Source organism: Homo sapiens, chromosome 9 (genome assembly GCF_000001405.40).
Source record: "Homo sapiens chromosome 9, GRCh38.p14 Primary Assembly".
Classification (NCBI taxonomy): domain Eukaryota; kingdom Metazoa; phylum Chordata; class Mammalia; order Primates; family Hominidae; genus Homo; species Homo sapiens.
In genome coordinates, this window is record NC_000009.12 from 78,965,109 (window position 1) to 78,978,492 (window position 13,384).

At 37.8% G+C, this 13,384-nt stretch overlaps 1 annotated feature.

Moving 5' to 3' along the window:
• Nucleotides 5,345-5,639: an enhancer, noted in NCBI's record as "tiled region #1407; K562 Activating non-DNase unmatched - State 24:Quies, and HepG2 Activating non-DNase unmatched - State 24:Quies". NCBI's record gives its function as "activates a minimal TATA promoter and a strong SV40 promoter by Sharpr-MPRA in K562 cells, with weaker activation in HepG2 cells {active_cell/tissue: HepG2 | K562}" and the evidence as "EXISTENCE:reporter gene assay evidence [ECO:0000049][PMID:27701403]".

A 13,384-nucleotide genomic window follows, 5' to 3' on the forward strand; every position in this document is an offset into this window, starting at 1 on the left:
AAGTGTGACATCAAATTTTTGTAAATGGGAAGGGCTTCTCGATGGGAGGCTTCACCTCAGGCAAAAGAAAAGATAAAGGCTATACATCAGAGGACTCGCCATAAAGCTAGCTTGAATTTATTGCATTAAAATATGGAAAAATTGTTAATTTATGTATGTGATTATGTATTATGTATATAATTTATATATTTAATTTGTGTATGTAATTAATGTTTTCCATATCTTAATGCAACAAATTGGAAATATATTATATATATGTAAATATATAGCAAATGGCCTTTATAGTAAAAGTTTCTGCATTTGATCATTCATTTGAAGATATTTTGTATGTTATATTTTACTGGTAGAAGTAGGCTTCATCAAATCAATAGATTTAGACAAATATGTCATGGTCAATGAGAAGAAAAATCACTGGTGAGAAAGACAGTTGATCCAGAAATGAGAAAGGGGAAGAGACAATTCTTGGGGCCATGAGAAAGGGGACTGGGCAGGCAAGTCAGAAGTGTTTGAGGAGAAGACAGTAATCAAAATTCCACGATCATGATTGTAAATGCATATTAGGGGTAAAAGAGAAAACAGTAATCTGCAAGCTTACAGGCATATTTTGGCATGTTTTGTTTTTCTCCCACTGGCACATTTTTGAACGGTACAAATAAACCAAATGCTTTTGGATCAACTTTGATTTGCCTGTGCAACTTGCTAACTCTGTGAAGGAAACATGGAAGTGAGAATCAATCCTATCCTCCTGGAGGTTTCTATGAATTAGAGGATGCTGGAATTGTGTTTCACAGGTTCACAGCTGGAGAGCAGTTTACCTCAAGGTGAATCCTATTTTGAGTCTCACTCATATCTTCTTTACATGATATTTAAATGAGACTTTAGACTTTTGAGTTGATGCTGAAACTACTTAGAACTTTTGAGGCTATTGGGATGGAATGGAAGTATTTTGCGTGGGAGAAGGATGTGAATCTGGGGGGACCAAGCTTGGAATGCTACAGTCTGAATATTTGTTTCCTGCAAAATGTATATGTTGAAATCCTAACTCCCAAGATGATGGTAATAGGAGGTGGGGCCTTTGGGAGATGACTGGGTCATGAGGATTGTAAGGGATTAGTGCCCTTATAAAAGAGGCCCCACAAAGACCTCTCTCTTCCACCAGATGAGGACACAGCAAAAGTTGCCTTCTGCGAGAAAGTGGGCCCTTCACCAGACACCAATTCTGCTTTGATCTTAGACTTCCCAGCTTCCAGAACTGTGGGAAATAAATTTCTGTTATTTACAAGCTACCAAATCTATAATATTTTGTTATGGCAGCCCAAATGGACTAAGACAGTCACCCTCAGATAAATGAACACACACACACACACACACACACACACACACACACACACACGGAAAACAAATTAATATCTGTTCTATAACTGCACTTAGAATGATGAGTTTTGGGCAACATTCTGCTATTCTTTTACTATCTTTCCTATGTTCATCAGATACAACTATCGCATGATATTTTGTTTTTGGATATCTTTATTTTGAAACAGACATATGGCCTCAGAACTGGAAGCAAAGTTATTTCGTATGATTAACACAAATTTAAATATTCATGGACATTATATTTGATCATTAAGAAAAACTGAAGTGATTTTAACATAGAATGTTTTTATTTTGCCCATGAAAACTCACCCTCCATACAAATATTATAAACAAAGATGTAACTAAAGTTAAGATTCATCTCCATATTAAGATAGATTGTCTTAAGATATGTAACCTATTATTTCTTCTTTACCAAAATCTATGCTGATGCTTAGAAGGACATATTGAAGAAGTTGATAGTTTTCTATCATCATTAATTTTAGGAAGCTGTAAAAGTATTCTGGTAACATAAAATACATCATTTATGTTTTAGCAATTTTTCTTAAAATATGATTAATCGATGAGTATTTCACAATGTATAGTCTTCTCATCTACCATTTTTAGATAAAATTTCAGATAGTAGAAATTTTCAAGTTCTGTAATAATATATTTATATACTACATTTTAAAGTGATGTGATAAACCAGTAGCAGACAATGTTACATAATAGTGAATGAATGTTACCATAAATTTTATGTAAAAGTGTAAAATTTATTTTCCTACAATTAGGAATTTTCTTCAATGTATATTTTTTAAGTAACAAAAATAATGAGGAACAGATACTGCTTTTTAAAATATGCCTTACACTATATTTCCTTCTAATTTGGGTATGTCACATTTTATTTACCTATCATATTAAGATTCTCATGATGCGTATAAAAGTAACATCACAAGTAATCACAATTATGTAGAGACATTTTGATTCATTTTATCTTTTATCATATCATTCATACATCAGCAAGCATGAAGGGGTGAGTGCGTTTTTATCAATAAATCAGTGGTGGGTGGTGGTTGTTGATGGGGTATGGGTATAAAATCTCTATTATTGTGATGTTTGCCATATACTATACCCCATTGACTATGCAGTATTGCTATAATATATGCATATCATCAAAGTTTGATGACACATAAAATTAGCTGCTTACATATTTGTATTTGATAATGATATCCTAAAACATGTCAGGCTTGAGGGTAACTGACTCATGGATCTACTTCCTCATTCTTTCCAAAGTTAAAGCTTCTTGCATCTAAGAAGCAAACAGTACCCAAACATTCCCTGGACTAGCCATTATCATGCATCTGCTATTTTATTGCCAACTGCTAAAAATGTGTGATGTTCTGTAGGAGATTGGTCAGGGTGGTGGGATAAATTATAGGGAAAGAAGCAAACCTTCTTGGAAGGCCAGGAAGTTTTGCAAAAGCTTTAAAAGAAAATTTGGCTGAAGGCAGCCAGATTCTCTTATCTGGAGCCTAAGAGCAAAGGGCAGATAACAAGAGAATGTAAAGGAACTTATCTAGATAAATTTGTTTACTCCTGTCTCCAGAAACCAACCTTTGATCATTCGCGCATGGGACTGCTCTCTACTTGGGGGGTTGACAATGTTTATTACCCACAAATTGTGTTTGCACCATGCCTTTGTCATTAAATCTGTACTGAATAAATGTGAGTGTTGCCGGCTTAGGGGGGCTGCTAACTCTCTTCAGCCCCTAGTGCCAACAGTCCCCTAGCCCACTCTTTCACTGGATACCTGTGTCTGAGTACTCCTCTCACCCGTCACTCAGCCAGAGTCTGCAGGGCAGACTCAACAATGTTCATTAATGTTCATAGTACTGTTAGTTGATATGCAAAATTTCTCCTACTAATTGAAGAAAGCTTTGATAAGTCTGAGATACATTATACATATGCTCCTTGACTTAGGATGGGGCTACATCCTGATAAACCTACAGTAAATTGAAAATATCTTAAGTCAAAAATGCATTAAATATACCTAACCTCACTGGGTGCGGTGGCTCACACCTGTAATCCCAGCACTTTGGGAGGCTGAGGTGGGTAGATGGCTTGGACTCTGGAGTTTGAGACCAGTCTGGGCAACCCCATCTCTACAAAAAAATATAAAAATTAGCTGGGTGTGGTGGCATGTGCCTATAGTCCCAGCTGCTTGGGAGGCTGAGGTGGGAAAATCACTTGAGACCAGAAGATCAAGCCTGCAGGGAGCTGTGATTGTGCCACTGGACTCCAGCCTGGACAATGGAGTGTGACCCTGTCTCAACAAACAAACAAACAAACAAACAATAAAAAACCTAACCTACTGACCTACCTTAAATGTGCTTAGAACACTTAAATTAGCCTACAATTGGACAAAATCATCTGGCAGCACAGTACACTGTTGAGTATCAGTTTCCCTTGGTGATCACATGTCTGGAAGCTGTGTCTCTTTGCCGCTGCTCAGCATTATGAGAGAGTATTGTATCACATATCTCTAGCCTGAGAGATCAAAATTCAAAATTCAAAGTATGCTTATTAATGAATGCCTATTGCCTTTACACCATCATAAAGTTGAAAAAGTCATAATTTGAACCATTGTAAGTCAGGGACTGTTTGTACTTATACGAGTACATTTTTAAAAACATATTACAACCGCTATGGAAAAAAGTGTGGCGATTCCTCAAAGAATGAAAAGTGGATTTTTATTTGATCCAGCGCAATTTCACTACTGGGTATCTACCCAGAGGAAAACAAGTCATTATATGAAAATTATACTTGCACACACCTGTTTATAACAGCAAAATTTACAACTGCCAAAATATGCAAACAGCCCATATGTCCATCAGTCAATGAGTGGATAAAGCAAATGTGATATATATATATATATATATATATATATATATATATATATATATATATACATACACACACACACACCATGGAATACTACTCGGTGATAAAAAGGAACAAAATAATGGCATTCACAGCAACTTGGATGCAATTGGTGACCATTATTGTAAGTGAAGTAATTCAGGAATAGAAAACCAAATATCATATGTTCTTACTCATAAGCAGGAGCTAAGCTATGAGAACACAAAGGCATAAGAATGATACAATGGACTTTAGGAACTTGGGGAAAAGGGTGAGAGCAGGGTGGGGGATAAAATACTATTCACTGTGTACAGTGTACACTGCTCAGGTGATGGGTGCACTAAAATCTCAGAAATCACCACTAAAGAACTTAAACGTGTAACCAAACACCATGTGTTCCCCAAAAACATATTGAAATTAAGAATTAAAAATTAAAAAACCCTATAGATAGCCTAATATAATATTCCTAAATACTGACATAATCTATATATTTTGAACACCAATCCACATAGGTCTATTTTCATATGGGAGAAGGGAAACAATGACTAATTTGGGGACTAGAAAATAAAGTTCCAACTGTAGAATAGGAATTCTAGAGTAATTCAGTTAAGAAGAGCTGCATCTATCCACTACCTATTGTTCATCCCCATGGATGGCTGTGCAAGGAACACCACAAAGAATGAAACCACTTTTGCCAAAATTATAACAGAAAATTATGACAGTGGGGGCGATCTGATCTGGCCAACCCACATCTTGTCTTTAGCCTTTAAGTTGCTCTTAATTATTCCTGGACTTGGACGAAGCTAACTTTGGGAGACATTTAGTTTATAGTTTAAATGATATTAAATAATATCATAGTGATAATAGCCCTTACCCAAAACTCAACTGCCTTTGTAAAGCTAATGAAAGGCCACCAGACTAGGAGAATGAGAATAGTTTATATCTACACCTCAGCCAAATTCACCCTGAATTTGCTAAGGTGTGAATTTGGCTAAGGTGTAGACATAAACTATTACTAGCCATTATTCCAGAGGTTGCAAGGTATGCAACTTCCTCAGTTACTCCTGCAGATAGCATCACTATTGTAGAACCTAAGATTGGCCATTCAATATATCTTTTCAGGTTTTTTGCATGTCTGATGACCGATGGTTCCACCTCCACACTGCTCCCGTGGCCCCCCCCCAGAAGTGACTCAGCATGCATGAGGATCATTTCCCACTCCCCTATGATTGCACCCCCAGCCAATCAGGAGCAAGCACACATTGCCTAACTATGCCCTCCTCTTCCCCCAAACTATCTTTGAAAAACCCTAGCTCTCAAATGTTTGAATTTTCAGAGAGACTGATTTGAGTAATAATAAAACTCCAGTCTTGCATTTAGCTGGCTCTACATATGTAAAAGTCTTTCTCTATTGCAATTCCCCTGCCCTGATAAATGGGCCCTATCTGGGTAGTGGGCAAGAAAAACCCACTGGGTGGTTCCAAGAAGAAGAATTTATGATATGCACAGGTGCAGAACTCATCAACTTTCCTCTGCTGTATTCATATACAGAATTAAGTTTTAAAAATATTTGGGGATTTGTAGGGTATAAAAGTGGTAGTGTAGCAACATAGGCCCATGTATAGGGTAGTCATGTATTGAAGGCTGAGGGGATGAATGAATGAATGAATGAACGAGATGCTTATTAAATGAGTGAGTATGAAAAAATAGTGTTGAGAAGTTTGTGAGATGAGTAGAGTGGCAACTATGAATAGAAAGTCTACAACTCAGATATTCTGGGTAGACATAACTTTAAGTGATTTTATTCTGATTTAATGTTTTCATGGGCAAAACTATTACCAGAATAATTTTTTAAAGAAGAGAGGGGGAAAAACCATTTCGTGACTATGTGTCCTGATTTAGGGCTTGGAAATTAGGGTCACCATACTTATCAGTGTATATTTTAATAACTCACTCATGGGTTTTAAGATGCCTGAGTTCTGTAAGTTTCCTCCCAGACAACATAATTTACACAAAGATGAACTTCCCCAAGAACATATTCTGCACTAAATATCAAATATCTGAAATGAAAGGATTTATGGGAGGTTTTATGTTTGCTATTTAGGCATGGACTATCCTCTTTCGATTATGTTTTTTTTCTTTCTATAACAGATCAATAAATTTTACCTGAGTAATAAAGCAATTTTGTAGAAATCAATCTTCAATCCTGATTTATTCTGAGTGGTTTGCATCAGTGACTGGGAGATAATTCACAAGATGTCTCTGCCGTTCCTCTGCCAACAGGGTCTTGACACCTGGCCAGAGAACAGTTGTATCTAATCCTCCTCGTTAGCTCATCCCCAGGGAGGCTTCTTTCGGCTGGTCTGTGAAATGACTTGGGTGGCTAGTATTTAGAAACAGGGAGTTAGAAAAACGAGGAGAGAAAGTGAGGGAGAGGGAGAATGGAGAAAAGAAGGAGGGAGGGAACAGGAGAGAGGGAGAAAGAATAAGAGCAGGAGAGAATTTTAATTCCATCTGGTGAGAACAAATTTTTGTTGTGCATGTTAGTGGTGGGTGTTTCCTATCAGAGTGGAATAAGCAATAATAGTGGGTTGGCAAAAGGTCTCAGTTCATTAGAGGAAATGTGGTAATTTTTTCAATTGAGGTAGAAGCTCACAGGAGGAAGCTCCGTAAACAATCTCAATGTGTGGCTTAACAGCTGTCTTTTGCAGCCACTAACATTTTTAATAAGGTGGGAAAAGATGGAGAGCAACACTTAGAATTTTCTTTCTTTTGTCTTATCTTTCAACACATACACATACACACACACACACACACACCAGACAAATGGTTTAATGATTAACTCTTCAGACTTTCATTGAGGCAGATTTTAAAAAATAATAATAATAAAAGGTGCCAGCAAAAACCACAGATCAGACTGGAAAGAGGAGCAGCCCCTTACAAGGGCTTTTATCTCCTGCCCATCATCTCAAATTGTCTTGTTTACCCCCCTGAATCCTGATCAGGCACCATTACTGCACTCAGTGTCCACAGCACTTTAGTGAAGGGAAAATTAATTCTGAATTACTGGCCCCATAACTGCCTGCTTCTTCACATGATCTGTCAGGAAAATAAGCAGACAATAGCTAGCTAAGTGGATTTCTGCTTGCTGCCATTCACAGGAGAAGGGACAGGTGTTCAATGGGGCTTCTTTCTTTCCCCAACTGCTATTTCACAATACATAGAGGAGGAGTTTAATTGCTTGCACCCACCTGCACCCTTGTCATTTCTTGGTTCTATTGGTTTTAATGAAAATATTAAGTGCACTCTAGGAACAGCAGCTAAGTGACATTTTGATTGAAATACACAAGGAAATGTATAATGGAAGCAGGCACTATTACAACGTTAATAGAAACTGAAAGAAGCAACATCCAGAACAACATTTTTGCTATTGTTATGCATATAGCTAGTCCTCAGAAGGGTAATAGGGGACTTACCCTTCTAGCTCTTGGTAAAAGAGGCTTTCACCTCAGCTACCTGACTTTTTTTGGTTTTGTTTTCTAGAAGAATAAAGTGGCCAGCTTTGATGTATTTTCTTTCATTAGACACCTCTTAGATAGCATTCATGGTCAAGCATATATTGGAATACCTTTCCTCTTCTCTGGAGTCACAACTCAGTAGAGTTTCTGTAGAGAAGTTGGATTTATTGACATGAATATAGGATGAAAACAATGATTCCTTGCAGGTGAACTCTCTTACCAGTCGCAAAGATGCGCTGCCTGAGCCAATCTCCTAGACTCAAAATATAGGAAGAAAAAAGTCAAAATAAAAATTATACTATGAAGCATCCTCAATGCATTTAACGTTCATTTCTATCTTGAGCATTATAATAACATGAAATTGTGTAATGGATATAAAATGAAATAACATTGTCATCCTTAACAAACATGCATGCACATACATGCACACACATAAATTGTCCCATAGAATTTAAATTGCTAATATAGAAAATTAATGATCTCATACATTTTATATCTTTTTACTTAAAAGTTAGAATAGGCTGGGTGCAGTGGCCACGCCTGTAATCTCAACACGTTGGGAGGCCAAGGTGGGCAGATCACGAGGTCAGGAGTTCGAGATCAGCCTGACCAACATGGTGAAACCCCGTCTCTACTAAAAATACAAAAATTAGCTTGGCATGGTGGTGTGTGCCTGTAGTCCCAGCTACTCAGGAGGCTGAGGCAGGAGAATGGCTTGAACCCGGAAGGCGGAGGTTGCAGTGAGCCGTGATCACGCCAGTGTGACAGAGTGAGACTCTGTCTCAAAAAAAAAAAAACTAACTAAAAAAGTTAGAATATTTTCTAGTGGGTATTGAGTGACAGAAAACAACATGTTCTTCGTTGATAATGTTCCTAAATGTATATAGCCTTATAAAAGAGCAGTGTGCATGCTTTTTCTTTAGTAGGAAGGTCTCTGTTCATCCATGATTTAAAACAATGAGGAAAGCTTATAATATTGACAATACTAAAAATATAAGAGAGAAATCCAGAGGGACATGTGTTGCATACCTGTGCATACTTGTAGTTGTCTCAGGGATTTTTTGCCCAGTACACACCTAAATAAATGACCTCATTTATTTATTCATTCATTCATCCATTTGTCCTTTCATCCATCCATTCATCCATCAGTTGTATCAGAATCTTTTGGCTGCAAGTTACATATTATTCTCCTGAAAGTGCCTTAAGGGAGGGCCATTTGTTGACTCATAACAAGATACCCTGGGGCAGGGAAGTTCCTTGTTTGGTGCAGTAATTCAATGGTGTCATCAAGGTATCAGGTTTCTTTGATATTTTCTTTCATTTATTTCAAGCCTGTTAGTTTTTATTTTTAAGCTTGCCTCTCCTGACTGCAAACTGACTACAAGTATCACACTCTTAAAAGACAATATTCCAAGATAAGAAATCTGGGTGTCTCCATTTTTATTTGGGAAGAAAATTCCAGAAAGCCCCAGGTAACAGTGGTAGAACCGAGCCACTGGTTCACTCCTTATCCAATTCCTGACAAAGGAGACTTGGGATTTCCATTATTAGCATAGACTAATCATGAATTTAGGAGTGGGCCAGTGGTATGTGGTAAATGTGCAATAATCTGTTCTCTAAAGGGGGAAAAAGGACACTCTTCGATCATAGTATTGGCTGATTTCTGTAGTGCAAACACTTCCATCCTGGCTGATTTCAAGCTACCAGCATGACTTTGCTGAAGCAGAGTTGGGAAGAGAGATGCACAGTAGGCTCATGCAAGCCAGAATGAATTATCTCCAGCACCCATTGGACTGGGGTCCTTTTTCCCTGAGCCTAACTCCACCTAATATCTGAACCAAATCCAGATTATTTTAGGGAGAAAGAAGGGAAAATTGTTGTTGGGCATGGTACCTACAATGTCTGTCTCCTTTATTTGTTCATTTATGCAACACATACTTTTGTTTGCCCATAGGTATTGAAGATAAGTGCTAGACATTTTTGAGGGTCCCACGTTATCTATGCTTCTTTATGAGAAAATCTGATCAGTCACACAACCTTTGCCAATTTGCCAGTGAGCAATGTACTATGCCATTACAATTGACCTGAAGGGAGCAACCACATACAAACTAATGATAGGACTCTCCACAAACAGAGAGGCATGGAACAAATCAGACTGACTCTGTCAGCAATTTGAAGTCACTGATCAGTATTTAATATTGAATCTGGAAGGTCTTGTTGAATTGGGGCAAGCTGGGTGTTTGCAACATGAACAATCAACAGGATGCTGTGAAGAAAGGGAAAATGAAGCTGATTCTTAGAGAGTGGAAAAGTACGAAAGGAAACGGGGTTACAGAAATATGGAAAGAGTGATTTCAATTCTTGGCATTCAATTATAATCCTTCTTGAGGCCCAGCTACACCTCACTTCCTTCCCTTAAATACAGCCTTAATGTATATCCTTGTGTGAGCCATTATTTTATTTTCCTCATCAATTAGAGTTTTTTCTTTCCTTTCTTAATTTTCTTTTTTTCCTCCTTTCTTTCTTACTGGGGTGTGTATGTGTGTATGTGTTTAAGAGACAGATTCCTGCTGTGTCACCTAGGCTGGAGTGTAGTGGTGCAATCATAGCTCACTGCAGCCTTGAACTTGCTGGCTCAAGTCCCCCAAGGAGTAGCTGGGATTACAGGTTCAATTAGAGTTATTAAAATAATTGTTTTTATTATCTCAAATGAGTTTCAATGTGTTTCAGTCAAAACAGTCTTAACACGACATAGAATAGAACACAAAAGTGAGCATGAAACTACAGTCCTCAAAGAGTTCATAATTTAAATGTAGAGATACAGAAATAAACCAATAGGCAAATACTTCCCAAGGCAAAAAATCTTCACTTAGATAAAGCACACTAGCATACCTTGGCTAGTCTTTAAGCCACAAGAGAAGGTTCTCTAGTGATAGTTAAAGACTTTCAGAATCATCTTAATTTGGTGTGCCATCAAAAGAACTGCTCACTCTAATTAGAAGGTGATGTTTTCAGGTATAAAATTTTGGTCCAACTCTATCCCTATTCTTTCAAGGTTCCACTTCTGCTTTGTTAGACCACTCTCAGACGCACAGAAGATGATAATCAGAGTTGCCAGCACCTCTAAGTCAAGGCAGAAACTCCCCCTCACAAAGAAAGGGAAAGTCCACACAGAACACATCTGTGCCAGGGACATAAAGGAACACATGTGGTGTCATTGTCTCTAAAGGAGTTCTGAAGAGTTAGACTGTTTCACGCCAGTAAAACGAAAGGTTTTACAAAATCAGAAAACTATTCTCTAAAACACACGTCTTCTGAAGTGTGATTTGGGTGTCTTACCTTGTACAGATAAAACAGAATATGTGACTCCACGAGCAGAGTTCTCTGTTTTAAAAGGCTTTTGGCGCCTGATAACGTTCCTCCCGGTGAGTTATAGTCTGTTTGGGAGGAAGATAAAGGAATGTTTTTAGTGAAAATACAAAAAGAATCAGTTACATATTTCATGCAAACACTTCCTTTCTGCCTGTGTTTTGTTTCTTCCTTCACTGTTGACCTTCACTTACTGACTCAATTTCAGTTTATGCAATTATACTCTGATAATCTGAAGCTCACTCTGCTGTCACTTCAATTGGCTAAGGGGTTCTTCTTTACTTCTCCTTTAATAGTCATGCTAAGTGGCTATAGAGAGCATTATTGCATTTGCTGGATCTCACTTCTGTTATCACTGCAGCCAGTCTGGGTCACATATAAACATCAGAGACCACCAATATTGGATGGCAGAAATCACATAAGTGTGTTATAAATGTCTTTGTCTTAAAAGAGTGAAAACTATATCATTATGGGAACCGAAAGTTGTGTCCCATCAGCCGCGATGCATCCAGATCTCCCGCAGGGTAACCTTTATAAAATGAACTTAAATAATTTATAATTACCGAAAAACTAAAGTTGTGTTTCTTAAGCATGGCCCATGGGTCACTGTCATTAGGATCCTAGGTATGGAGATGTGCTGAAGTAGACATTTCTGCGGTCCATTTCAAACCTCCTGAATCACAAAACCTGCAATTGCAGTCGGAAATCTGAATTTTTAACAATATTTCTAGGTAATCCCGATGCAAAATTAAATATGAAAACAACTGATTAGATGATAATTCTAGAGAAACTGATGCAAAGTAAGAATCGTTCTAAACTAAAGTTCTTTAAACATCTCTTATACTCTCTACTTTTTAGTTTTCTTTGGACTCTCCTTAGAGCGCAACCGTCTTCATTAAACTGTTGAAATAATATACTCTATCAATTAGAAAAGGCTTTTAATACATAAACAAGTAAACCCGTATATATCAGTGGCTTAAAAGAACAAAATTTTGTTTCTCATTCGTGCTATATACCCATTGTAGATTTAATTGGAGACAATACATTCAACGTTAGTAAAAGTTCCAAATTTGATTCTGAGTAATATAGACGAATGTCTTAAGATTCAAAAGCTATTAACAGAAGCAGAAAGTGTGGAAAAAACTACAGATAAAATAGAGGTAATAAACATATCATTTGGCTCATTCATGACCACAAAAGCCCAATAAATAAGGCCGGATGACATGAAAAAAATGGGAGTGGGGGTATTAAAAGAAACTACCAGCAAATTGTTTCAAAATGTCAAGAGCAAAATATTTTCTCTGCCTCAAATACAGTTATTTTCACCCAGTCAGTGGCAGAGGCAGAATGAAGAAGCTGCTTGCCTAGAACTAAGGCCTTTCCTGCCACTGCCTCTTAATTTTATTTATTTATTTATTTATTTATTTATTTATTTATTTATTTATTTATTTATTTATTTGAGACGGAGTCTAGCTCTGTAGCCCAGGCTGGAGTGCAGAGGCATGATTTCGGCTCACTGCAAGCTCCGCCTCCCGGGTTCACGCCATTCTGCTGCCTCAGCCTCCCAAATAGCTGGGACTACAGGCGCCTGCCACCAGGCCCGGCTCATTTATTGTATTTTTTTTAGTACAGACGGGGTTTCACCGTGTTGGCCAGGATGGTCTCGATCTCCTGACCTCGTGATCCGCCCACCTTGGCCTCCCAAAGTGCTGGGATTACAGGCGTGAGCCCGCATCCGGCCCCTTGCCTCTTATTTGTCCCAGCTTGACTCCTTACATTTTGGTGGTAAATCGCACCTCAGTGAACACCTTAAAATGCCTCATGACTGAACCCCTTTCATTTCATAATTCCTTAGGCTTTGCTTTCTCTCACTGAAAACTATTGAGAGAAGTGAGTTTAGTACTGAGTATTTCCTGCCTGTTTCCCTGACAAACAGGGACTTTAAAGGAAAAATAGTTCAGAGAGGGGAACTTCTCCCCCTATATTGAGGTTAACTTTTCATCTCAGCCCTCTTTGTGCTTCCAGAACTAGCTATTCAGCAGCAGAATTCATGAGACACCATGACTAAAATCTCACTATGGTCTCTGGGGGAAAACACCAACCTTAAAAATTACAAGGTAGAGCTTGTGCTAAAGGTTTATTAATTGACAATATGACAAGAATATCTATGGTTATTTGGATCAAATATTACCAATATGCTGTAACTGCTTTAGCAAAGTGACCCCTCC